The sequence below is a fragment of the Homo sapiens genome, chromosome 22, assembly GCF_000001405.40.
Source record: "Homo sapiens chromosome 22, GRCh38.p14 Primary Assembly".
NCBI lineage: Eukaryota > Metazoa > Chordata > Mammalia > Primates > Hominidae > Homo > Homo sapiens.
In genome coordinates this window covers 47639690-47667349 of record NC_000022.11, presented here as the reverse complement: position 1 = coordinate 47667349, position 27660 = coordinate 47639690, and the positions used below count along the sequence as shown (strand labels likewise).

Below are 27660 nucleotides of genomic sequence, written 5' to 3'. Positions count from 1 at the left end.
TTCACTAAGAGAGAATTAGGGGTTTTTATAGCTTAAATTTTTTTTAAAATTTAAAACCATAGTAAATATCAAAACCTTAAGAAAAATGTCTTTTGGAGTTGTAAGAACTAGCATATTTTAAGTACAAAAAAAATTTAAAACATATGGATGCTGTTAATTTAGGAAGGAAGACTGATTCTATAAAAACTTGTTTTCCTACCAAAAAAGAGATAAAGTTCATCAAGTTATGAGAAGGAAGAGAAGAAACAAACAGATGAGAAACGGGGCTCGGACGCCTGTGTGTAGGTCCCTAAGTCACCCCGTCTTCATCTCCCTTGTACCCAAGTCACACGTAATCAAACAGCCTCACACCTGGATCCTCCTAAAGAATCTCTGGCCAAGAGCAGCTTGTAAAGTCCCAGGTGACAAATCTTCCTGCTTGCCCAGAAATGAGAGGCTTCCCAAGTTACAGGATTTCCTCTGCTAACACCAGGAAAATCTGAGATGATCAGGAGCAGTGGGTCACCCTTCAACAGGACTCACCTCATAAAAAGATGATTCGTTTTTCACAACGGGAATTGAGCAGGGTGTAGACAGAGCAGAAGAAGAAGAAAAAAGGAGGGAATAAGGGAAGCAAATGGAAGATGAAATGCTGTCACAGAAGTGTTGCCGAGGGCCTGAGAATCATTACCTGACCAATGACCATGAATTCAGAGAACGTGATGAATAAAGAGCTAAGTCAGAGCTCAGGTTGCTCAGGAAACCCATGGAGGAGCACGAAAAGGTGAATGAAACTGTGGCTCGTAGAACTCAGAGAGGTAGTTGAGGGGGAAAATGTTTCCATCACCAAAATGAATGCCAATTTGGACGCAGCACAAAAACAAACAGACACTCCCGGGAATAGGTTTGAGGCACACAGTGGATATGGCCGAGAAAGCAACATGAAGTGAAACTGCACTAAGCCAAGAATTTAAGATGATTAGGGAGGAAATAATAGATAATAAAAACAAAAAAGGACCAGGCCAGAGCATAATTGTGTTCCTAAAGAAAGGAGAGAAATAGTACACAGACCTGATTCAAGAAAATTTTTCTGAAATAAAATAAAACTCTAATCTAAAGACAAAAGGCCTCACTGTATTCCAAGGAAAAAGGACCATCTATAACAATCAACACCAAGATATAGACTAGACTAGTAAAATTACTGGAGTTTAATAATCACAAACGAATCCTTTGAGCATGTAGGAAAACATACCAAGACACTCGTAAAGGAAAATAAACATTCTAGCTAGCCTCAGCCTTCTCCCAAAAATTATTCAAAAAACCGTTCCTAAAAAATCTTCAAAAAATGTTTTTTCTCAACTGAAAACATTCAGATATCAGAGCAGAAGACAGCTATTTTTGTACATTCAAAGATCAAGGAATATAATTTTGGTGGGTAGGGAGAGAAACCGCAACAAAAGAATGGACGTAAAAATGGAATGTGCTCCATTGCAGTCTTAAGACCAAAGTAAGTGCGGGAATTATGGCTCTATAATAGGAGGCAAACACGATAAATCATGTCAATATAGAAGTAATATAACCAATAAAAGAGATAGGGTAAGAGAGAGAAGCCCACTGAAAGGAGTTGTTTAGGGTGGAAAGTGGGAAAAGCATATTCTGGTGTTTCCATATTATTGTTGTTGGGCTCAAAAGATAATATTTAAGCTGATGATGTAAGTAAAAATATAGAATTAAACATATAAAGTCGAAGAGCAAACCCATAAAAGGACCAGGTCCAGACAGTTTCAAAGATGGATTCTCTAAACTCTGTAACGTCACATTTTTATGACATTGCTTTGACGGTTTCAGAAAACACAGAAAAGGAAGAAATCTTCCAGATCACTTTTATAAAGGTGGAATTATAATAAAACCAAAACAGTACAAAGAAAACACAAGAAAGATACTAATCTCACCTATGAATACAATAGCCATGTAAATATGTTGGAAGCACCGTAAATATCAGAAAACAGGCTCCAAAACAAAATAAAAGAACCCCACAATAGGGCAAAGCAGAGTTTTTTCCAGGAATTCAATGATGCTTTAATAACTGGAGAATCAAATAACATGACTCACCATACTAATTGATGAAAAACGAGAAATCATATGATTAATTCCAAAGATGTTGAAAAGTCATTTAAGTATAGTTAATTCCATTTTTGATAGGTAAAACTCTTCGTAACACAGAAGTTAATGAATACTTTTTTGCTATAATTTTGTTCCTTTATGTATATAATGACAGGGAAAAAATCTCCTAGACAAATCATTTGTTAAAAAAAGAAGAAGATGCAGAAGAGTGTAGGTTTTATAAGAAAGAGGTGTAGCCGAGCACGATGGCTCACACCTGTAATCCCAGCACTTTGGGAGGCCGAGGAGGGCGGATCACCTGAGGTCAGGAATTCGAGACCAGCCTGATCCACATGGAGAAACCCCATCTCTACTAAAAATACAAAATTAGCCAAGTGGGGTAGCGCATGCCTGTAATCCCAACTACTTGGGAGGCTGAGGCAGGAGAATCGGAACCCGGGAGGCAGAGGTTGCGGTTAGCCGAGATCACACCATTGCACTCCAGCCTGGGCAAGAAGAGTGAAACTCTGTCTCAAAAAATAAAAATAAAAATAAAAAATAAAAAAAGAGAGAGACAGAATGAAGTATAGTGAGTGGACATCTCTGTGAATACAAACAAGCAACAGGTGTGAGTCATAGCCTTTTGGAGCAGAATAGGGTAAAAAGAAATACTTTTTCCTGTATTCTATTCAAACATTCAAAATGCATACCTTCTAATAAGTATATTTTTTATAGCCATAACCAGTTTACAAAATTGTTATTCTAGAGCAGTGACTTTCACGCTCAGGGACACTGGCAGTGTCTGGAGACACTTTGGGTTGTCACAACTTGGGGGTAGAGGGTAGAGGTCACCAGGTGCTGGAGGTCAGGAATGCTACTCAACATCTTGCACAGCCCAGGAAGCCGCCTACAACAAAGATTTATCTGGCCCCACGTGTCACTGTTGCCAAGGTCAAGAAACTCTGTTACAGAGTGATAATTTCTACCACATAGGTAACTACGAGGCGATCAAAAGCGTATGGAACTTAAATCAGGAAATCTAAAGTTTCCTCTGTCATTTATTAGCTATTTGACCTTCGGTAAATCATTCCCCCATACAAAGCCTCACTCTCCTCACCTATAACTGTAAGATGATTGTGTAAAAGCAAATGATGTAATGTCTGGGAAATGGCCATGTAACGCCAAACAACTGCTTGGTTGGAGAAGAAGGAAGGTGGACCCATTAGAACCCTGTCCTGGGAACTCACCGCCTAGTGGAAGAGGTGACAAGTAAACAGAATTGCAATGTGTATTTACGTGATAAGACAGAGGCATGCAGGGAGCTTTGGAAGCAAGGCTTGGAGGCCACTTCAGGCAAATCGGATGTATACAAATTAGAAAGCCTCCAGCATACTGGGCATGCTGGTGCCCAGAGAGACATCCTCCTTGGCTCCCCAGTGCCCTAAGCAAAAGCCGAGCTTCACCTCCCAGCACACGACCTCCCTGTTCTGACCCTGAGAGCCCACCAGGACTTCCCCTTCTCTCCAGCCCTCATTCTGCAAGCACAACCTAGGACCTGGTTTAACTTGGGATTCTCTGTCGTGGAACACACCTGAGTGGAGCCCAGCAGGACAGGTGTTCCTCTTCACTTCCATTTTGTTCTTCTAAAATTGAGATGGAAGAGGCTCTTTTCAGGCTGGAGCCATGCAGAGTCTCAAAGAGGAAAGAAAGAAGACCTCTGCTGTGATAGAAACCCTTAAGAGACAGTGAAGGAATTTCACAGACCTGAACATCAACTGCCGGAGAAAGAAGTTTGCCCAAAAAGTGCTTCAAAAGGTAAGGAGGAAGCTTATCTATGAGAACACTGTGACTACCACAAAGAACACAGAAGGAGGCACAGAGCTGGGGTCTGGATGGCTGGGACAACAAGGAAAACCTTGTGGGTGCCTGCAGAAGCCAGGCTGACCTTCGTCATCGGGATCAGAGGTGTCAGAAGTGTGAGCCTGAAGGCCTAAGAGGTGTTGCAGCTTCTTTACCATTTTTTTTTTTTTTGCAAATGGAGTCTTGCTCTGTCATGAGGCTGGAGTGCGATGGTACGATCTTGGCTCATGTCAACCTCTGCCTCCTGGGTTCAAGCGATTCTCCTGCCTCAGCCTCCTGAGTAGTTGGGGTTATAGGCACCTGCGACCACGCCCAGCTAATTTTTGTATTTTTAGTAGAGATGGGGTTTCACCACGTTGGCCACGCTGGTCTTGAACTCCTGACCTCAGATGATCCACCCGCTTCAGCTTCCCAAAGTGCTGGGATTACAGGCGTGAGCCACTGCGTCCAGCCTAGCTTCTTTACCTTTGCTGTGTCTTCAAATAACTTTTGTTAAGCTCTGCAAGGCTTCAGTTATGCTGAGGCTGGAGGGCTCAGATGCTGTCTTGCATGGGGAGACCTAAACGCAGAGTCAGTAAATGAGCTGATCTATGGGCAAAATCAATGGGAAGCAAATTACCTTGACAGAGAGCTTTTTGATTGCTGGACCTCTTGGGAAATACAGTATCATCTGCATCAAGGGTCTGATTCCTGAGCTCTATACTGTTGGAAAACGCTTCAAAGAAGCAAACAACTTTCCAGGGCTCTTCAAGTTTTCTCTATGAGCTGGAGTGAGGGACCACCTACTTTATGGAAGGAGCTGCTGGCAGCAGGAAAGACCAGACCAACAAACTCATTAGAAGGATGAGCCAAGGTGCCTCCCATGGTTATTGTAAACTGGTCAGTTAGGAAACAGTGACTACTTTCAAATCGAAGAAACACTGAGATGCAGGAAAATAACTTAGGTTCTAGTTAGATACATTGGCTTTGATGTAGGCATGTACTAATTAAATTAATAGCTATGCAAATATTATTCTTAAAGTTTATCTTTACATGGAGAATATTTTTAAATAGCCTTTTAAGTCCCTAGATAAATTTTTGTTATTCCTTCAAGGCAAGAATTCTGTTGTACAAAAGTCTCTGTCCACAGAAGCATTGACTTGTCACCATAGTGCAGTGATGTTTTTGCACTGATGTGAAGATTATGGACCATGGCTTCCTTAGACACAAAAATTGAACAATAATCTCTCCCTTGTTTATGTTTAGGAGTTTTCAGTTATATATGACTTTGAAGTAAGCCTGTGAGGCAGCCAAGCCTTACTTGCCTAATTTTTTTCAAGTGAGGAAACTGCATCTGAGAAAGCTAAAGTGACTTTACTGAGATATCATAGCTCCCTTGGTGACCTAAAAGTGGACTCCAAAGTTAACATTCAGATCTGAAACTCTTAGCTGAGAGCAGCCCATGCAAGTACCTGAAAATGTAATATTCGAAGACACTTAACATTAAAGTATGTTCAATAAAGCCAGTCAAGAATATAGTACCCATCTAGACATCATCTTCATCAGACAGTGAAATTAAATTAGATTTCCCTGATAACCAGCTTTAGTAAGCCCATTTGCATTACGAGTGTGAGATTAGAAATGGAGTAATTCAGTAATGAAGCTGCTTGCAGAATTTCTGAGCATACATTTGGGTTCAAGTCGGTCTTCCATTCCAATTCAGAGTCATAAAGTTTCAGCTTTAATGTGGACCTGAAGGTCACGCGGTCTAAATCCAAGATTCAAGTCTAAACCACTGAGCTTCCACCAAAATGGCCATCCAGTCCCTCTCTGAGCAGTCTTCTTCCACTGCCCCTGGGAAGGGAAACTGACTTTAGTCCAAAGCATCCCTTTCCACATGAGGTTATTCTGTTCCTCAAGGCCACACAAGACTCCTCAATCACCACTTGACAGTTGTATGTATTTTCAAAGCTTGCATCCCTTTCCCCCTTTGACTCTTACCCCCTTCCTGTGCCTGTTAGTCTAGCTTCTATTTATTGTAAAATAGTTTGCCCTTGATGAATGGGAGTTGATAGATTTGTTCCGTTCTTAACAGAAAGATACAGGTCAGGCCAGGTGGAGAAACTTGCAAGAATGGAAGTGCCCTTAGGATGCGGCTGGGGCTGCACAAGAGGGAAAGTGGGGCTCTGACTGAGAGCAAAAACGAAGGTCAGAGCATTTGAGTCCAAATCAGACCTTGCCACCAAGTTTGGCTCCAGAGGAGGCTGAAGTCAAGAAGAGATCTCTGGCTAAGGTAACATGAAGCCTGGGTACTGCAGGACCACAGACATCTCCTGAGGACCTATGTCTCCCAGAACTCGACATTTTTGGGGTCACAGGCCATCTCAAGCCAACATTATTCTGTTATCCTCTCACCTCTCAACCACTGCCACCAGATCTCAGCATCTTCCTCATAATAATTATTTTGCCAGTTTAATCAAATGAACTAAAAGCTATCTTACTGAAATATTCTAGTGTGTATTGCCAGAGAGAGGAGGGAAAAGATATGAAGAAGCAGAAAATTAAGGCAATAAAGAAGATGAGGGTGAGGAAGCAGGAGGAAGAGGAGGAGTTGAAGGGGATGAAGAAGAAGATGAAAAAGGAGGAAGAGGAAGAGATGAAGGTAATGAAGAAGGAGGAAGAGGAGGGGGAGATGATTGTGATGAAGGTGAAGAAGAGAAAGAGGAGGAGGAGATGATGGCAATGAAGTTGAAGAAGGAAGAGGAGGAGGAGTTGAAGGTGGTGAAGTTGAAGAGGAAGGAGGACAAGGAGATTAAGGTGATAAAGAAGATGAATAATAGAAGTGATGAAAGTGATGAAGAAGATGAAGGAGGAAGAGTAGAAGGAAATGAAGGTGATGAAGATGAAGAAGGAGGAAGAGGAAAGAAGAGGAGGAGATGAAGGTGATGAAGGTGATAACAATGAGGAGATAAAAGTGATGAAGATGAAGGAGGAGGAGGAGGAGATGAAGGCGATGAAGAAGGTGAAGATGAAGATTAAGGGGAGGAAGAGATGGTGATGAAGAAGAAGGAGGAAGAGGAGAAAAATGAAGATATAGATGAGGAAGAGATGAAGGTGATGAAGAAGGCAGGGGATTAAGAGAAGAGTTCATTTCCAATCACTACTTTTGTAAAACTTCTAACTGCCTACAGCCTACCCTAACTGGGGTGGTCACCACACCCTCACTGGATGTCCTGAGTGATCCTCGAAGAGAGGCAGAGTGGAGTTCTGCTAGCCAGGCCTTTGTGAGCCCTTCAGAGAAGAGCAGTCCAACAGACTGGGCCCAGACCCCCGTCCACCAGCAAAGCAGTCCTAACCTGCTCCTCACTCAGGGCAGGATTAACTGCACCCCAGAGGGAGGCTCAGCATGCCAGCAGAGCCTGCAGGAAAATGAGCTTATGTTGATCTTCTTTCTTTAAATAAATGCACATTATCTACACATGTGGAAAAGATAGGCTAAGTATTTATTCAGCCAAGAAGTCCATATGCAAAGCTCAAGCAGAGCCAACTTCTGAGTAACAACCACAAACATTGTTTATCAAAGCAGTCAATTAGTAGCCACTTGACTAGAGTAGTTACATCCTAAAGAAGAGGATAATAGTGTTCTCTGGATGCATTGTTGCTGTTTAAAGGAACAATGCCCTTTTATTCTCTCCAGGGAGCATTTGATAATCCACTCCCCTGTAGTGCTGGCCTGCTGCTAGTTCAACCCAGGGAGGAGGATCCAATGGCACACAGCTGTGCGGCTCTCCAGATGCCATCTCTCCTCCATGTCAGGGAGACAGCAGGGTGTGCCAGCCTGGCCCTAAAATGCCCAGGAGCTCTGAGGTTGGGGGAACACCAGATGAAGGGGGATTCAACTCTTGGGATGCAGAGGGAGGACAATACAGACTGAGAAGCTGCAAGTATTTATTTAGCTATGAGTTTTCTTTGCCATGGTGCAGAGGACTCAAGAGCTGGGACGTAGAGAAATGGACCTTGCTCAAGACCATGGGAACCCACCTCTTGCATCAGCGTGACCTGGATATGACACCTGGAGTCAAAGGAGATCATTTTGAAGCTTTAAAATTTGACTGCCCTTCTGGATTTCAGACTTGCAGGGGTCCTATAACCCCTTTGTTTTGGCCAAATTCTCCCATTTGGAATGGCTGTATTTACCCAATCCCTGTACCCTCATTGTATGTAGGAAACAACTAGCTTGCTTTTGATTTTACAGGCTTGTAGCTGGAAGGGACTTGCCTTGACTCACACAAGACTTTAGACTGTGGACTTTTCAGTTAATGCTGAAATGAGTTAAGAATTTGGGGGACTGTTGGGAAGGCATGATTGGTTTTGAAATGTGAGGACATGAGATTTGGGAGGGGTCGGGGTGGAATGATATGGTTTGGCTGTGTCCCCAAACCAAATCTCATCTTGAATTCCCACATGTTGTGGGAGGGACCTGGTGGGAGGTAATTGAATCATGGGGGCAGGTCTTTCCTGTGCTATTCTTGAGATGGTGAATAAGTCTCACAAGATCTGATGGTTTTGAAAAAGAGGAGTCTCCCTGCACAAGCTCTCTTTTTGCCTGCTGTCATCCATGTAAGACGTGACTTGCTCCTCCTTGCCTTCCACCATGACTGTGAGGCTTCCTGAGCCATGTGTAACTATAAGTCCAGTTAAACCTCTTTCTTTTGTAGATTGCCCAGTCTCGGGTATGTCTTTATCAGCTACATGAGAACAGACTAATACAGACCTCTACAGGCTTATCCATCATCATGATCATAATTACCCATAGTGTTATCATGGGCTCGCACCGGTGTTCAAGAGGCTACCACCAGCACCTGCCACTCATCATCCCAGGCAGTCCCTAGCAACTCCAGGAGAAAGATGCAGATTCTGTGATGGAGAGAGCAGCGTGCTCATAGTGCGATGTGGGCAGAGTCAAGAGAGTAGATGTAGCGGACAAGGAGTCTGAGATGGACCTGGCCATGCACAAAGGGGCAAAGGCATTCCTGGTGGAGGGAGCAACTTGCACAAAGGCTTGGAGGTGTGGGGTAGTGCCCATGCAGCCTGATCATAACTCTTGGCTCCATACGTTCACCTCCAGATCTAGGCTCTGTGCAAGGGCCAAGCCCTCCCTGAGCCATCACACGCTGCAGGAGGACCACCCAGCTCTGGGCTGGCTGGCCTGGCTCAGACCCACCACCAGCTGCATCTCCTCTATCCCTGAGGCTTCATTTTCTCCCCTGTAAAATGGGAATCATTTTATCTACTGGAAAAATTAAGGAGTAGAAATAATGCCCATTAAGAACCTATCAGTGGCTACAACCAGCAATGCAGCAATATTGTTTTTCACCCAACCAGGAGAGGAAAAAACAATTGAGGCATAGACTAATCTTCAGAAAGCTGAGAGAGGAACATAGGTGCAAATCTGTTAATATTATGATGATGATGATCACCCTCCATATCATCATCTTCTCTATCAAATATCAGTTCATACATTATAATAATATGTATTATCCCTAGTAGAGCTGAGAGGAAATTATAGTAGGATTCCTGAGGATAAATTAGTTTTCTTTCCAGAACACTGTGCTTAACTTAGAAGTCATTATGCATCTACTGTTAGAAGCATTCCTTAAATATAACCCAGTAAATATATGTGATGTTCTCCATGGCTATTAATAGCCTAACTCTATTTATTAAAGGAAAAAATGAAACAACAAGAAAGAAAAGGTAAATCCAGACTAGCAGAGGGTTGATGCACTCAGGCAGAAGCCTGTTTATAAAAGTCAGTGAAGCCCCACTTTGGAGTATACCCACTAAGGGTCAGGTGCCTCCTGCTGATCCTAGACCCGGCCTCGGCCCAGGGTGGGGTGAGTAGTAAACCACTAATAGCGGTCAGATAAAACCTCTGCTGGAAGAAAATTCCCTGCCACTCCTCTCCGCGCAGGGCCTGGCACAGAGACAATATTCAATGCATGCACATTAAGTTAACAAACATTTCTGGGAAGTGTCTCCTGTCCTCACTCTGCCTCTGGCTGGCAGATAATCCTATGCAACTCCACAGCACACAGGGGTAACCCAGGGACCCATGACAGCAGAGGGGGACAGCAAAGGGGCGAATCTTCTTTCCCAAGAGGGGTCTGAGCAAACTTCCCTTCCAAGTTAAAGGGAAGGGAAGGCCCCCCTCTGCCGGTTGGGATTCCCGTGCTCCAGCATTTTTCACCACCTTTCTCTTCCCAGGATGGGCCCCTGCATGCCTTCGCCCTGTCCTACAATAACTTGGCACGCCTTCTCCCCATGCTTCTGGACCAATACAGAAACCTTCTGAGGTGGAACCTTCCAGTGGGCAAACTCGGGGCACTGGGCGGGTAGAAGGAGTGTGGAGCCCACAGTTTCCCAGGAGCCCAGCAAAGCACTCGATCCTTCTGAAGCCCAGTTTCCTGAGCCCAATGCCTCTTTCTGGGAACAAAAGGCAATACTGTCCACCTGGTATCTGTAAAAGCCAGACACAATGGCAGCAGCCCTGCCCTGGCTCGGTTACTCCTTTGTGGCTGACACGCCCATACCTGAGTCCCCTATACTGTGGAAGTGGGGGATGGAACTGGAGACCCCAAATCCCACTCTTGAATCACATTCAGGACTCCCCAGCAAGGATGGCTGCATCAATCCACCACTGAGTTGAGCTGAGGAGACCAAACTCCTGCCACGGGTGCATCAGCCGTGTGTTTGGCCACCTTCACGATTCTCTGAAGGGATGTTCTCCACATGGGTCTCCCAAGTGAGTAAGCAAGGGTCAGCCAGTTGCTCACCCATCTCAGAGTCGTGGCTGCACACTCTGTCCTCAATTTCAGGATGTTCACGAAGAGAGGACAGAGCAAAGGGTCCAGCACGCACAAAAAATTACACTCAGCTCTAGCACAAGCTGAGAATAAGCATTCATGAGTGTTTTCCACAGGGCACCTTTCCAGCCATTCTGGGCGTTTCTGTGCTGTGTGCATCAGCTAACGATTCCCTTCAGCTGATGATAGTGATGATAGTGAGGGTGGTGATGATCATGATGTTGGTGATGATGATGGTGATCATGATGGTGGTGATGATAGTGATTATAATGATGATGGTGATGGTGGTGATGGTGATGATGATGGTGATAGTGATGATTGTGATGATGGTGACAATGATGGTGATGTTGGTGATGATGGTGACAATGATGGTGGTGATGATGATGGTGATGGTGGTGATGATGGCGACAATGATGGTGGTGATGATGATGATGGTGATAGTGATGATAGCGATGATGGTGATGATGATTTTGGTAATGATGATGGTGATGGTGATGATGGTGATGGTGGTGATGATCATGGTGGTGATGATGATGGTGGTGGTGGTGATGATGGTGGTGATGACGATGGTGATGGTGATCATGGTGGTGATGATGGTGGTGATGGTGATGATGGTGATGATGATGGTGTTGGTGATGTTGATGATGATAGCTAATATCAATGAGTTTTTATTATGTGCCAGGGAGTCTGCTAAGAGCTCTACTTTCAGTATCTTATTAAAGTACATAAATTTGATTTTCATTTGTTTAAAGAGTTTTTCTTCAAAAAAATTATGCTGAAAAAGTATGAATACACTTTCCTGACAATTTAAAATATTCTTTGAAAAGCAGAAATCACCTTAGACCCATCAGAGATTTGTCCCAATTCCCTGGGTATTTTGAATAATTGTGTTAGGATATTAGAAGCAGTACTGTCACTGTCCCTCTCTCTCCTCTGTGTGTGTGTGTGTGTGTGTGTGTGTGTGTGTGTGTGTGTGTGTTGTACAGGTTCTCTAGTGTGTATGCCAACTCTCCTGCACACCTGCACTCTGGTCCACGTGCCTGTGCCCCTTGCAGGTGTGCAACACCAAGTCCAGATCTGCCTGAAAGCCTTCCCTCCATTCCCGTTTCTTTTCCTCTGCTTAGTTGGGAAGGAGGAATGGCAGGCCTCTGTTTGTTCCAGAAGAGACAATTTGAAGCAACGCTGGCAGAACAAAACTCTGGCCTAATACCTTTCCAAAAAGCATATTGCTTTTTGTAGCTGCAGCAGCTGAGAGTCCAACAGCTATTCCCCAGACAACCCAGCATAGAGGATGGCTATTTTTAGACTGTATCACACCTAAGAATCTGTGCAGAAAAGATACTGTGCCAAGCAGACATGCTATCCCTTCCTCCAACAACCACTTAGCCTGATGCAGAAGGAGCAGGCTGCCTGCATTTTTTCTTAATGTATCAGATTCCAGCAACAATATGGCATTCTCTTTGAATTCTTTTCAAGTGTCTGGTATATGTTCGTACCTCTTGATAGCTATTATTACAGTGCCGAAGTCAGTCCAATGCCAAATGACAGAATGAAAACTGAAAACATATAACCATCACGTGTACTTAACTTTGTGGGCAGAATATCACTACATCTGGATGTCTGAGCACATTTTGATGTTTGACTGCATTTTCAGTTTTCACTGAGATGTTTGGCATCAAGTGGGATATTCACACCCAAAATAACATTAACATGGGGATGTGCAAAATCTCTTTACATTATAAAGTAAAAAGCACTGGCACTTTTCAAATCTTGGAACCAATACAATTTGTCCAGGGATAGGATGCACTTGCTGGCAACTGTTCATTTTTTGTTAACTTTATTACCTTCATCACCATCACAATCATCACCATCACCATCAACACTATCATCACCATCACCACCATCACCATCACCATCAACACTATCATCACAATCACCACCATCATCACCATTACCCATCACCACCATCACCACCACCATCATCATCATCACTACCATCCTTATCACCATCATTATCATCCTCACCATTAATGACTATCACTATGACGATCACCACCATCATTATAATATCATCATTGCTATCTGTAGTCAGTAAATGGATGCCCAGTTCTGTGCTCAGTATGTTCCACAAATTATCTCTAATCCTGACAGCAACCTTGCATCATAAGCACTAGATCCTTTTTATGTATTTATTTCTTCAAAGAAGGCTTACAGAAGTTGCAGTGACTTTTTTTGAAACTAAGTAGCTGTAAGTGGTCGGACTGAACCCAGTTTTGTGAAAGTCCATAGCCCTTTCCATCACACCAGCTTGTTCCCTAATGTGCTTAACTACCTCAAAAGCATGGACTGGACAACGATGAGGCATCTCAGTAGCCAGCTCACTGCTCTCTTGAATGGCTGAGGGAGTTGCTCCTGCATCAAGTTCTTCTCCCAGCCTTGTCTCCCCTTCACAACATAGCCTCCTGTGAGTGTCCCTGCAAAGCCAAGCCTTGTCTGGGAGCTGTCTCCTGGCTGTGGACTCTGTGGACAGCCTCAGGCCAAGACCTCCCAGCTTCCTGCATTGGCATCTGGCTCTTATAGGCGCTTAGCAAGTATTTATTGGCATATGCCTGTATTGACCTAATCTCAGTATGGAGCATACTTTGTATGAGGAAATAGCTGCCTCTGTGCCAAGGAGGCCATGTCTGAAGTCACGCTCCACCACCACTGTCCAGGCGGCCTCAGAGCCCTTGACATCTGGAAGTCCAATTAGACCCCTCCCATCCCTCACCAAACCCTACTGGTATTACCACTAAAGTATTTATCAAACTCACACTCTTCTTTTCCAGGTTGCCTTGACATCACTTTTTCAGAATACATAAACCAACCTGTAAATATGTGCCTTACTTAGTCTTCTCCATCTATGGAAATGGCCTCACTTTGGACTCAACTTTTCACAGGAAACAAACACATGAAATCTTGCAACTGCCCTTGACTACTACCTCCACTTTTTTTTTTTTTTTTTTTGAGATGGATCTTGCTATGTTTGCCAAGCTGAGGTGCACACTGGAGTGCAGTGGCACCATCACTGCAGCCTCAACCTCCCAGGCTCAAGTGATCCTCCCACCTCAGCCTCCCAAGTGGCTGGGACTACAGGCACACACCACCACACTCAGCCATCTAAAAAAAATATTTTGTAGAGACAGGTTCTCTCTATGTTGTCCAGGCTGGTCTCAAACTCCTGGGCTCAAGAGATCCTCTCACCCCAGCCTCCCAAAGTGCTGGGATTACAAGCATAAGCCACCATGCCCCATGGCTCTTCCACTCTTTCCCCAAGCCCTGTACACAAGAACCATCAGACCCTATTAGCTTCAGCATCACCATAGAGCCTGACCTACCACTTCTCATACCCTCACTCCACTGAGGCATCCAGGCACCTCTCTGTCCCTTGGCCCGCTGCAGTAGACTCCTGACCAGCCTCTTGTAGTGCCCCCCAACATCTCTGCCATCTGTCCTCCACCTGGCTTGTAATTCTCCTGCTTAAAAGCTGCACATGCATATTCCATTTCACATCATTTCAGTCACAAAACAGCAAGCATAGCCTCCAAGGCCCTCGGTGGTCCAGCCCTTCCCATCTTCTTCATGCTCTTTTTGGCCATCCCCACTTCCTTCCTTCAGTAAATTACTCCAGCATGCAACCATTCTTTCCCTGCTTGGAGCTTCACTGCTGCAGTCATGACAGCATGGAACTCTTCCACGTCCTGCCTTGCCTGGCTGGCTCCCCATTGTCCCTGGGTCTCAGTTTGAAAATGGCTTTCCTGCCCTGGGCATCCCAACCCACCAAGCTGAAATCAGGTTCCTTTCTCATCAGTGGTCACAATATGCATCAGAATGTGTAAATGTGTATCTACTTGTCTTTTCACTTTTCTGTCTCCTCCCATCTCCGCCTGGACTGGAAGCTCCCTGGGGCACAGGCCTGGCCTTGCTCCTCGCAGAGTTCCCAGCCCTGATGGCAACACCTGGCACCCAGTAGGACTCAGTGCCCATGTGCTGGTTGGATGGATCAGTGACACAAGGAAACAGTCCCTGCCCTGCCGTCCTTCCAGGCCTCTCTGAGGCTCATGTCAGGGATGTTTGTCACATTAAGGCAATGTGTGGTTCTAAACCAGTGAGGAGCCAAACTACAGAACTAGCACCCATGTGAGGACAGATCTGTCCTGCTGGCTGGAAAGAAAGGAACCTAAATTACACCACACGCTACACATCAGTTCCCATGATTAATGCCTTTACTAGCATCTGAGATGGTATTTATTTGTACCAATGTATAGATGAGACACTGAGGCTCAGGCAACAATTTCCCTGGGGTACAATCCAGCAGGAAAGTGAAGGACCAGGACTCACAGTTGGTTGAGCCTGGAGTCCGGGCTGCCTTCCTCCCTTGGTGTACATCTTTTCCTTTCCAAACTGTCTCCATGATAGATGATAGATACATAGAGATGACAGGCAGATGATAAATATATAGATAATTGATAGATAGACAATAGAGATGATAGGTAGGTAGATGATAGAAAAATTATAGAGATGACAGGTCAATAGATAGATGGTAGATAGGTAGGTGGGTAGATAGATGATAGAAAGATAGATGATAGGTAGATAGATGATAGATGATAGAGATGATAGGTAGATAGAAATGATAGGTAGATAGGTGATAGGTACATAGATACATAACAGAAAGAGATGACAGGTAGATGGATAACAGTTAGATGATAGATAAATGATAGATAGAGATGATAGGCAGATAGATGATAGATCGATCAATAGATAGATTAGGTGATAGACTGGATAGATGATAGATAGATAGATAGATAGATAGATAGATAGATAGATAGATAGATTAGATGATAGATTAGATAGATGATAGATAGATAGATTAGATAGATAGATAGATCGATACATAGATAGATACATAGATAGATACACAGACAGATGCATAGATACACAGATAGAGATAGATAGACAGAACAACCCATACATCCATATGCCAATAGCCAGGCCAGCCAGTTCTTGGCCCTGTGCCCTTTGACCACCCTGCCACCCTGTTCTTGCCCTGGCCTCCTGGAATCCATTTCCCCATCTGCACATTTCTCACCCAGCTCACTCTGGCTCCTGCCCTGTTGCTCCACAGAACTCACTGTCGCTATGGTCCCTATGGCCACTGAGTTGCAAATCCTAGGGTTCTTTACAAGCACTCACACGTGTGGCCTATGGGGGTGAGTCCACAGGGACGGCCCCTCCCACTGACCCCACCCCACCTTCTCCTCCTTCCCCAGCTGCTCTGCACCCGCCTCCTGTCCAGTGCTGGACTTCAGCAGTACCCCTTTAAGATGCCTAGTAAGTCTTTTTCCAATTTCTCATGAAAGATCCTGGAAAGATGTGAAAATGTGAAAACCTGTATCACCACTGAAAAACAAAATTGACAATCTGGCAAGCAAAGAAGGACTTTAGACAAAGTTGCACAGAAAAACAGTTATGGGATGTTTGTAGAAACAGAAGGAACCTCCTCACATGGTGTGAGTGGGGGGTGCGCATTAGCAACAGCTCATACTGAACCACCTGTGTAGGCCACACTGGGAAATTTATTTTTCCCAACACCTCTATCCATCAAGCACTGTTATTACTTCCATTTTATAGAGGAGGAGACTGAGGCTCAGAGAGGTTAGACGCATGGCCCTAGATCACACAGCATGCAAGGGCTGGGGCAGGGCTTGCTTGGAGAGCCTGCGTCTTAACTCTTGAAGCACCTGCCGTCTGGGCCACGAATGGCCGGGTGGAGAGGGGAGGACTGCTCCCTCCACCAGCTTTGAGTCTTCACCTCAGGTGCCCCTGATGCAGAAATGCAGCATTTCCACCATCATAAAGCCATACCCCTCTGCTATGCTTATCATCCACCTTCTGGGGCAGCCAGACATGGGCCTCCTACCCCCAGCACAGAAGTGTGTTTCCTTCATGGCCAGGAAAAGGTTCCCAGGCAGAGGTGGCGGAGGCACAGCTGGTAAGGGCTGAGGAACTCAGGAGACAAGGCTCCGTGCGGGGCAGAATCTGGATGGGCCTCTCCCCTGCAGAAGGAAGCCTCTTGCCTTCCTTTTCTTTCCTATCTTTTCTGTTTTTTTTCTTCTTTTCTAAAGTAACCACTATTTAATATCATGTTTAGATTTTACCTATACATATCTTACTGTGCATCTCCAAAAGAAAGGTCTTTTTAAAAGCATGTCCAAAATATCATCCATATCCAATAAATGCTTACGTGTTACCAACTGTCTACATTGTAATTTTGCTAGTTCACATCTGAATCCAAGTAAGACCCATATTTTGAAACTGGCTGATATGTCTCCAAAAGCCTTTGTTTTTTCAGTCCTGAAGTCTGGTACTCACGCCTTTTCTTCCCTTTGTGCTATATGGATCAACAAAGCAGGGTTGTTTTTCCTGTAGAGCCCCCTGTAGTCTGCATTTTGTGTTTCAACGTCCCAGGGCTCCTGTAAACTGGGAGTTACATTTGGGGGCTTGATCGGATTCAGGCTTTGGGTTTTGGCCAGAGGACTTCCTATGCTGTGCTGTGCCTCCATGGGGGATTTGTGATGTCTGCTGAGCTTCTGTTCTTGTAATCTCAGCAGTCACTGAGGAGTATCACGAGTCATTAATACAGTAAGGGTGGAAAAGGATGACACTCTGATTCCAACATGAATTCTTCATGTGGCAGCTGGACTATTTATGTAAAAAGATACCTCCCATTTCAATTATCTGCTTAGCTAGAAATACAGTTCTTATATGTAAAGCAGGGAGAAATACTTATTTCTTTCCAAGTTTTTACAATAATGAGTAGTTTCCCTGACATACTCCGATAGTGACCAGTTTTTTACTTTTCATTTTAATAAACTCAAGGATTAAGTCATATTTAATGTGTTGTATCCATTCAAGGCAATCGGGTTAATGATGCTAACATTGGCCTATCTTTGGTTGAGAGAATCTCTTCAAGTCTGGCTGAGTTCTTTTTTTATTTTCATTCATTCTTTTTTATTTCTTTTTCTTAGGTTTTTAAAAGTTGTAGTAAAATACACATGATGTAAAAATTGACCATGGTAATGATTTACAATTCAGTGGCACTAAGCAAATGCACTATGCCACGTGTCTATCACCATTATCTAATTCCAGCATTTTTCATCACTCCAAACAAAAACGTATATGCACCTGCTCCTAGCAGCATTGTTCCCAATAGCCAAAAGCTGGAAACAGCCCAAGTGTCCATCAAGGGATGGATGGAGAAATAAAATGTGGCATATCCCTGCTTTAAGAAGAATGAAGTTCTGACACCTGCTACAACATGGAAGAACCTTGCAAACATGCTAAGAGAAAGAACCAGACATACAAGGCCATGTGTTTTCAGAAACTTTTTGGCATGGCCCCAAGAGCTACGGCAGCTTCCTTACTTTCTGGTACGAGATCTTTGGGTCTCATGTTGTACATTTTCTAATGCATACCCAGAACTAACCATTTCTCCAAGAAGCCCTGGTTGCTTTCAGTGGTAAATTGGATTTAGCGATCACAGCCTGGGGATCAGGGTTGTTCCTTCATACTGAGTTGTCATTTGCCTCCTTGCTTTTGAAGAAAGTTTTTTTTTCCTTACCCTTGTTGCTGTTACATCATCAATCCCCTATACATCATATTAAATATCCTATGTCCTGTGGCCCACACAACTACTCATTTACTTTACCCCTTCTCTCACACACACACACATGCGTGTCAAAGTAATAGCATCACCACCTCCACCAACACCCTGATGGCTGAAAAAAGCTTGAGATAACTCATGCAGCTTATTTTGTGTTTCTGGTACATACCCCTAGGAGTGCACTGTCAGATCAGGGTTCCCTAAAATCACTGGATGGAAATAGCTCTCTGTGTGACTTCCTCATCCACTGCATACACAGCTAACTTCATACGTTCATTTTGTCGCTAGGTCTGGGGATGGCCTTGTACATTTATCTTTATTGTAAGCGGGGAGGTTTGAGGGCTGTTTTTATTTCTTTTTCATTGGATGATTCATTTATTTGTATTGCCCATTTACTCATTTTCCTGTCGGATTGTTGTATTTGGGGCTGTATCTACAGAAGACATCTTTTAATGTTTTGTGTGGCTGGCACCCTCCAATTGTTCTTTTTCAAGGGTTAGCTGGCAATTTGTAGTTACTCTTCCCACTGTGTTCTTCCTAATGAAATACATAGCCAAGTGATTTAGATCCAGGGAAAATGTATTTGGACTGAGATACTTTAATACTATGGAATAACTTAAGAAGGCTTGGCCAAAGCCTTCCCATCTAAGAACACAGTGTGTCTTTTCCTTTGTTCAAGTTTATTTTACTGTGTCTAAAAGCGTTTTACAGTTTACCGCATATAATTTTGGGACAATTTTTAAAAAGTTTATTCATGGAAAATATGTGTGTGGTGTGTGCGTGTGTGGTTTGAGTGTGTGTATGTGTTGTTTTGTGTGGGGTGTGTGAGTGTTGTGTATGTGTGTACATGTGATATGAGTCTGTGTGTGGTATAGGGAGTGTGTATATGATGTGAGTGTATGTACATGTACGTGTGTGGTGTGTGTATAGGTGAGCATGTGTGCGTGCATGTAAGCACGTGTGTGCATATGTATATTGACAGTGTATGTGTCTGTGGTGTGTGTATGTGTACATGTGTATAAGTGTTGTATGAGTGTGTGGAGGGTGCATTTATGATGTATGTCTGTTTTGCATATAGTGTGAGCGGTTGTGGTGTGAGTATGTGAGCATGTATGTGTCTGTGGTGTGTGTGTATTGTGCATGCATGTATGCCTGGTGTGAGTCTGTGTATGTTGCATGTGTGTTGCATGGGTGTGGTATGTGTGCTGTGAATGTGTGTGTGCATGTATGTATGTGAGCATGTGTGTGTGTGCTGTACATGCCTGTATGCATGGTGTGAGTCTGTGTGCAGTGCGTGGGTGTGGTATGTGTGGTGTGAATGTCAGTATGTGCATGTGTGTATGTGAGCATGTGTGTGTATGTATTGTGCATGCCTGTATGCATGGTGTGAGTCTGTCTGTAGTGTGTGGTATGGTATGTGTGGTGTGAATGTGAGTGTGTGCATGTGTGTATGTGAGCATGTGAGGGGTGTCTGTGTGTGTGTGGGCATGTGTGTGTGCATGGGACGTGTATAGGGGATGTGTGTATGGACACTGGTGGGCAGCCTCTAAGATGACTCCAGTGATCCCTGCCTCCTTGGAGAATGCCCCTCTTCTGAATGCAGGTTGAACCCCGTGACTTGCTTCTAATGAATAAAATGTAGAAAAAGTTGATGGATATCACTTCCAAGATAAGGTCACAGAAAGACGATGCCTTCTGTCTCGGGCGCTCCATCAGCCTCTCCCCCTCAATTGCTCTAATGGAAGCCAGCTGTCATGCTGTAAGCTGTCCTGGGGAGGGACTGGTCTATGACTCTCCAGCAGGCAGTGAGGACCTAAGGCTGCCAATAACCATGTGAGTGAACTTGGAGGTGGGTCCCACAGCACCAGGCAAGCCTTGAAGTGCCAGCCCGCCCAGAGCCTGTGAGGGCTCTGCCTTGAGCCAGGGTGCCTGGCTCTGCCATGGCCAAATTCTTGACCCTTAAAACTGTGAGTTAGCAAATGTTTTGTTGTCATAATTTGGTAAGTTTGAAGGTAATTTGTTACAGAGTGATAGATACTCTAACAGGTTTTGGCTTATATCCATGGTAATTATTGATTCCGTCCCTTTATGTTTGGAACTAGGCTTTTAATTCTGAGATAAGTACAGATTTACATGAAGTTGTAGGAAATAATACACAGTGACCTCGTGTGCCCTTTACCAAGTTCCCCTCCATGGTAACATCTAGCAAAAATATGTATACACTACATACAATGCAACAAGCATATAATAAAATGTAACAATCAGGATACTGATGACAATGTATGCAAAATCCAGGCTACTTCCATCACTACAAGGATCCTTCCTGTTGCCTCTTACAGCCACATCCATAATCACTGGCAGCTAGGAGTCTTCTCTCCATTTTTGTAACTGTGTTGATTCAGTGTTATAGAAATTGAATCACACAGTATGTAACCTTTGGGGACTGACATTTTTCACTTACACAATCCTCTGGAGACTCTACCAGATGGTTGCATAGATCAATAGTTTGTTCTTTTATTGCTGAGTAGTAAGTGTTCCATGGCATGGTTATGGATGTACCACAGTTATTTAATAATCCACCCACAAAGGCCACGTGGGTTGTTTCCAGCTTTGAACTATGATGAATAAAGCATACCCATTAGTACGACTATTATCAAAAATGCAGAAAATAACAAGTGTTGGCAAGGATGAGGAGAAGTTGGAACCCTTGCACACTGTTGGTAGGAATGCAAAATGCTGCAGCTGCTATGGAAAACAGTATGGCAGTTCCTTAAAAAGTAAATATAGAATTATTACCATATGATCCAGGGATTCCACTTCTGGGCATATACTCCAGAAACTGGGGAAGAGGGGGGACTCAAATAGATATTTGCACAGCCATGTTTATGCCAGCACTACTCCCAATAGCTAAAAAGTGGAAGCAACCCAAATGCCCCTCATTAGATGAGCGGAAAAACAAAATAATGTATACAGACCATGGAATACGATTCAGCCTTTGAAAAGGATGGACATTCTGACACATGCTACCACGTGGATGAATCTTGTGAACATTACGTTAAGTGAAATAAGCCAGTCTCAAAAAGACAAACACTACATGATTCCACTTATATGAGGTCCATAGAGTCCAGAAGTCCCCCTTTATCTGCTGTTTTGCTTTCCATGGTTTCAGTTACGAGCAGCCAACCACAGTTCAAAAATACTAAATGAAAAATCCCAGAAACAGGCAACTCATAAGTCACATGTGCCATTCTGAGTAGCATGATGAAATCTCATGTTGTCCCTGCCCAGATGTGAATCATCCCTTTGTCCAGCATATCCATGCTGTATGTGCTACCCACCTGCTAGTCACTTCATATCTGTCTCAGTTATCAGATAGAAGAAACATAGTATATATAGGGTTTGGTATTATCTGTAGTTATAGGCATCTCCCGGGGATCTTGGAATGTATGTCCTTCAGATAAGGGGGGACTACTGTAGTCAAATTTATAGTCAGAAAACAGAATGGTGGTTGCCAGGGGTTGGGGGCAGGGAGGGTTCAAGAGTTGTTGTTTAACAGGTATAGAGTTTCAGTTTTGCAAGATAAAAAGAGTTCTAGAGATTGGTTGTAAAACAATGTGAATGTACTTAGCACTACTATACACTGGGAAGTGGCTAAGATGGTACATTTTATGTTATATGTATTTTATCACAATTAAAATGAAAATTGGGTAGACTGATTCCTCTCACTTTGTTCTCCTTTTTAAAATTGTTTTAGCAATTTTAGTGCCTTTGCCTTTCCATATACATTTTAGAATAATCTTGTCTATATCTACAAAAAATATTGCTGAGATGGATAGGCATTGCGTTAAACCTATATATCAATTTGAGTAAAATTGGTATCTTTACTACATTCCACTTTTTAAAAATTTCTGCTCTCATCTTTATTATCTCTATGTGTTTTTTTTTTTTTATTTTGCTCTTCTATTTTTCAGTTCTTGAGCTGGGAGCTTAGGTTACTTATTTGAGACTTTTCATCTCTGTTAACATATGCAGTTAGTGTCATACATTTCTCTCTCATAACTGCTTTAGCTGTATCCCAACAATTCTATTTTCATTTTTATTCAGTTCAAAGTATTTTTATTTCCCCCGAGACTTCTTCTTTCACCCATGGATTATTTAGAAGTATGTTGTTTTGTTTCCTAGTGTTTGGAGATTTTTCTGTTATTGTGCTGTTATTCATAACCTAGTTTGAGTCCACTGTGATCAAAGAACAAGTGCATGACTTTAATTATTTTTAAAATTGTTGAGATTTGTTTTATGGTGAAGGATACATTCTATCTTGTAACCTGCCTATATTACAACATTTGAAGTGAGTTTCTTATAGACAACATATAATTGGGTCATGCTTTTTAATCCATCCTATCACTTTCTGTATTTTAGTGTATTTAATTTACACATTAATGTAATTATTAATATTTTAGGGCTTAACTCTGCTATTTTAATTCTTTATTTCTTTTTTTTCTTGTTTTCTCTCTCTCTTTCCGGGGTCATTTACATTTTTCTGCCTTCTTACAGATTACTTGAATATTTTTACAATTCCATTTTGATGTATCTGTAGTGTTTAAAATGTGCGTCTCTGTACAGCATTTTTAGTGGTTGATGTAGGTACTATATTATATTTACATAGTATCACAGGCTATTGGTGTTATCCTTTTATTAGGTGGAGTCAAATAAAGAACTCTTGCCTATCTTTAAGAACCTTCATTTCCCCAGTTTATATTAGGTTGGTGCAAAATAATTACAGTTTTTGCCATTACTTTCAATAATTGTCATAAATATATCCTCTGCATATATTTAGAACCATATCAAATGATATCATAATTTTTGCTTCAACCATCAAGTGTAATTTATAAGACTCAAGAGGAAAAAGAAACTGCCTACTATATTTATTCATATTTTTATTTACTTTGCTCATCATTTTTTCTTCTTGATGTTGTAAGGTTCCTTTTTATCATTTCCTTTCTGTTTAGAGAACTCTTTTTAGCTATTTTGTTAGGATAGGTCTGCTGCTGATACATTCTCTCAGTTTTCCTTCATCTGAGAATGTCTTCATTTCTCCTTCCTTCTTGAAAGATATTTTTATGGGTATAGAATTTTGGGATGACAGTTTTTTGCTCTTAGTAGCTGAAAAATATTGTGTCATTTCCTCCTGGCTTCCATGGTTTCTGATGACAAATCCACTGTCATTCGAATTGTTTTTCCCTTCCAGGTTGGGTGTTCTTTTCCCCTGGCTGTTTTCAGAAATGTTTTGTTTTTTGCTTTGCAGAAGTTTAATTATGATGCATGTTGGCATAGATTTCTTTAGGTTTATCCTGTTGGAGCATCTTTCAGCTTCTTGAATCTGCAGGTTTATGTATCTTAACAATTTGGGTCATTTTCAGCCATTATTTCTTCATGTACTTTTCAGCCTCTCCCCCTTTCACCTCTCCTGCAGGGACAAAATGACACAAAATTTAGACTTTTCTTATAATCCCAGAAGTCCCTGAGGCGCTGGTTCACTTTTTGTTGTTGCTGTTCTTGTTGTTGTTTTATTATTCTTCTACTTTCTCCATGTTGTTCGGGTTGGATTATTTCCATTGTTCCATCTTCCATTTCGCAGTTCTTTCCTGTGTCCATTTCATTCTGCTGTTGAGCTCATTTCACTGTGCTTTTAAAATTTCAATTATATTTTTCAGTTCTAAAATGTCTATTTGAGGCTGGGTGTGGGGGTGCATGCCTGTAAACCCAGCACTTTGGGAGGCTGAGGTGGGTGGATCACTTGAGGTCAGGAGTTCAAGAGCAGCCTGGCCAACATGGTGAAACCCCGCCTCTACTAAAAATACAAAAATTAGCCAGCCATGGTGGTGGGTGCCTGTAATCTCAGCTCCTCGGGAGGCTGAGGCAGGAGAATCGTTTGAACCCGGGAGGCAGAGGCTGCAGTAAGCCGAGATCATGCCACTGCACTCCAGCCTGGGCAACAGAGGGAGACTCCATCTCAAATAAATAAATAAATAAATAAATAATAAAATGTCTACTCATTTTTTTTTCTTTATATCTCTATTGCCTTGCTGAGGCTTTCTATTTCTTTGCTGAGGCTTTCTTTGTTTTCCTTTGTTTAAGTGTGTTCGTAATTGTTTATTGAAGCATTTTCATCGCTGTTTTAAAACCTTTGTCAAATAATTCCAACATCTCTGTCAATTTGTATGGCATGCACTGATTGTCTTTTCACCCATTGTGTGATCCTCTCCATTTTTAGTAGAATAAGTGATTTTCTATTAAATTCTGGACATTTTCGTATTATGTCATGAGATTCTGGGCCTAACTTAAGCCCTCTGTTTTAGCTGTAGGGTAGATTTGCTGGTGATAAATTATTTTCTTTTTCCTAGTGATATCACTCTGGCAGGGGATGGGAAGGAAGGAGACACCATTCTTCCCTTCCGAGTGACACCCAGGTTTTGCACTCACTCACCCTTGATGCCCGCAGTGAGGAGGGCTCCTTGTTACTGCTGGGTAGGGATGAGGATTCTGGCTCCCACATGGTCTCTGCTGGCACTGTGGTGGGTGGGGCCCCATCACTGCTAGGTGGGGGTGAAAGTCCCTGCTCTTCACTAGGGCTCCCAGTGTAAGGGGGACCTCTTTACTGCTAGGTAAAGGTTATCTTTGCTGATGTACCTGGGGTACAGCCAGATTCTTCTGTGGTATTGCTGGAGTGGAGTGGTTATTTTTTAAAAGGATTCTGTCTTGATGGACTGCCCCTATTCTTGTCCCTTGGCTAGAGCGAGCAGGCTTTTGCGGTTGTTTCTTTGTGTGCATCCACTGACATTTCCAGATTGCTTGCTTCTTCAGTTTCAAATCCAGGAACTATGAAGACAAAAGAAAACCCAGGAAACTCACCACCAAGCTGTTTCTTGGGTGCTGAGGTCAGCCTGTTTTTCCCTCTGCACCTTGGGAGTCGTCCTAGGTTTGTTCTATGTATAATGTCCACAGTAGGTAGTTGAAATTAGTAGAAGAAATAGGGAAAATTATCCATCTTCCTGGAAGCAAAAGTTCTTACTGATGTGCAAATTGTTGATTTTATAATATGCCATTTTTAGCAATTCTCTCTCTCTCTCTCTCTCTCTCTTCTGGGGGTGGTAATAGTTTTCCTTTGATTTTTGGGGGGATTTTCAAGCTACGTAATTTTCTCATCTGCAAACAGAGATGGTTTTATTTTTTCCTCTGCTTTTCTAGTGCCTGTGCCTCTGACTCCTTTCTCTTGGCTAATTGCACTGTCTAATATTTTCAACACAATCCTAGATGGCATAAGAGATTCAGGCATTCTTGTTTTCCTCCTGTCTTTAGCCAGAGGACATATTTGTTTGCCATTGAGTAGTATGCTAACTTCTGGATACATCAATTGCTATTTTTATCAAGTGTTTTTAACATGAATATGCTTGATTACATAAAATGCCTCTTCTATTTTTGAAGTGACCAGATGACATTTCTGCTTAGCTATATTCATTTGATGGATTATATTAATATATTTTCTCATATTGAACCATCTTCCTGTTCCTGGTAAAACAACCACCTGGTCTTGATGCATTATTTTGTTACATGCTGTTTGCTTCTGCTTAATTACATTTTAGCTAAGACCTTTGTGCATCTATGTTCATAAGTGAAGTTAGTTAGTACTTTTGTCTTATAGTAAAAGTTCTGTCATATTATAGAGGTTTTACTTGCTTCATAAAAAGAATTTGGATGTTCTCCATTTTTCCCTATACTCTGAAATTATTTAAGTATCATTGCTATTAATTGATCTAATTAAAACTTGGTATATTTCCTCTGTGGTAACTGGGGTTTGAAAGGAGTTAGTGCTCTTTAACTACCTCCTCTATTTCTTTAATGGTAACTGGCCTGTTTAGATTCTCGCTTTAATGGGGTCAGTTTGGGTACTTTGCAGTTTTCTAGAAAATTATCCTATCTTGGTATTTTACTTTATTTACATACAATTCTACAAAGTAATCTTATGATTAAAAAAAATAAATTCTTCTGGATTTGATGCATTTGTCATTTCTAAGTTTTTTATATTTGTGCCTCTTTCTCCCAAACCTCACCAGAATTTTTTTTAGATGGCCTCACAGTTTGTCTACGAACAGATTTTGGATGTATTTCTGGTTCTATTGCATTTGTACCAACTCGTTTGAACTCATTAGTACTTTTGTTACTTCTTTTTGCTGCTTTCTGTTTACTGTCTTGTTTCTTTTCTAGTTTTTTGTGTTGGATATTAATTCATTTATTTTCCTTTTTGCATTTTTAATAATATTAATTTTTATTTGTCTAAAATTATTCTTTTATAACTGCTTTAGCCATATTCTATAAATTCTATTTTTAGGAAATTCTGTCATTTCATTCTTTATTTTGTCTTTATTTTATTTTGCTGTTCCAAGAGTTGTTTAATAACATGTTTAGTGGGCAAATCTTTTTGTTTTGTTAATGCTACAATTAGCTTCTAGTTCTATTGCTTGTGGTAGGAGAAGGCTGATTGTATTATTTCTATGCTTTGGATTTAATGAGATTCTCTTTGTAGCATAAGATATGGTCAATTTGGGAGATATTTCATGCACTTTTAAAAAGCAGCCATATTCTCAATTATCAGAGTTCAGAGTTCAATATACTTCTGTAGGATCTGCCTCATTGGCCATGTCACTGAAGTCTTCTATCTTCTTACTAACGGTTTGTCTTGGATAGAGAGTGGTGTGGTGAATTCTCCAGCCCTGAGTATAATTTTATCCTTTCTCCTTGTATCTCCTGCACTTTTTACTCTTTGAAAGTGACTGTATTATTGGGCACATGTATATTAATAACTGTGATACCTTCATAGTGAATTGTAGCTTCAGTGTTATGAAAACACCTCCTTTTAAATCTCTTTTAATGCCGTGAGCTCTAACATCTACTTTGTTAGACAGCATGGCTGTTACACCTGCTTTCTTTTTGTTCACATTTTTCCCAGATATCTTAATTTGTACTTTGTTTTCTAAATTTCTTTATTTTAGGCACGTCTCATGTACATAGCACAGACTTGGATTTCACTTTGTTCATCAATCTGAAAATAATATTTCTTCCATTTATATTAAGCCCATTTTATGTATTATTTATCACTATAATCAATGTCTTTGT

General features: G+C 42.1%; 1 long non-coding RNA gene across 1 annotated transcript in view, besides 2 other annotated features; it reads right to left on the bottom strand.

The window, feature by feature from the left end:
* The window catches only part of EPIC1 (epigenetically induced MYC interacting lncRNA 1), a 223927-nt gene that overhangs the window by 188251 nt on the left and 8016 nt on the right, over window positions 1–27660 (bottom strand). The gene's annotated exons all lie outside the window — the stretch shown is intronic.
* Window positions 6983–7486: an enhancer, noted in NCBI's record as "OCT4-NANOG hESC enhancer chr22:48055613-48056116 (GRCh37/hg19 assembly coordinates)". NCBI's record gives its function as "activates a minimal SCP1, AML or CMV promoter by ChIP-STARR-seq in naive H9 embryonic stem cells {active_cell/tissue: H9 hESC(naive)}" and the evidence as "EXISTENCE:reporter gene assay evidence [ECO:0000049][PMID:30033119]".
* Window positions 7487–7990: an enhancer, noted in NCBI's record as "OCT4-NANOG hESC enhancer chr22:48055109-48055612 (GRCh37/hg19 assembly coordinates)". NCBI's record gives its function as "activates a minimal SCP1, AML or CMV promoter by ChIP-STARR-seq in naive H9 embryonic stem cells {active_cell/tissue: H9 hESC(naive)}" and the evidence as "EXISTENCE:reporter gene assay evidence [ECO:0000049][PMID:30033119]".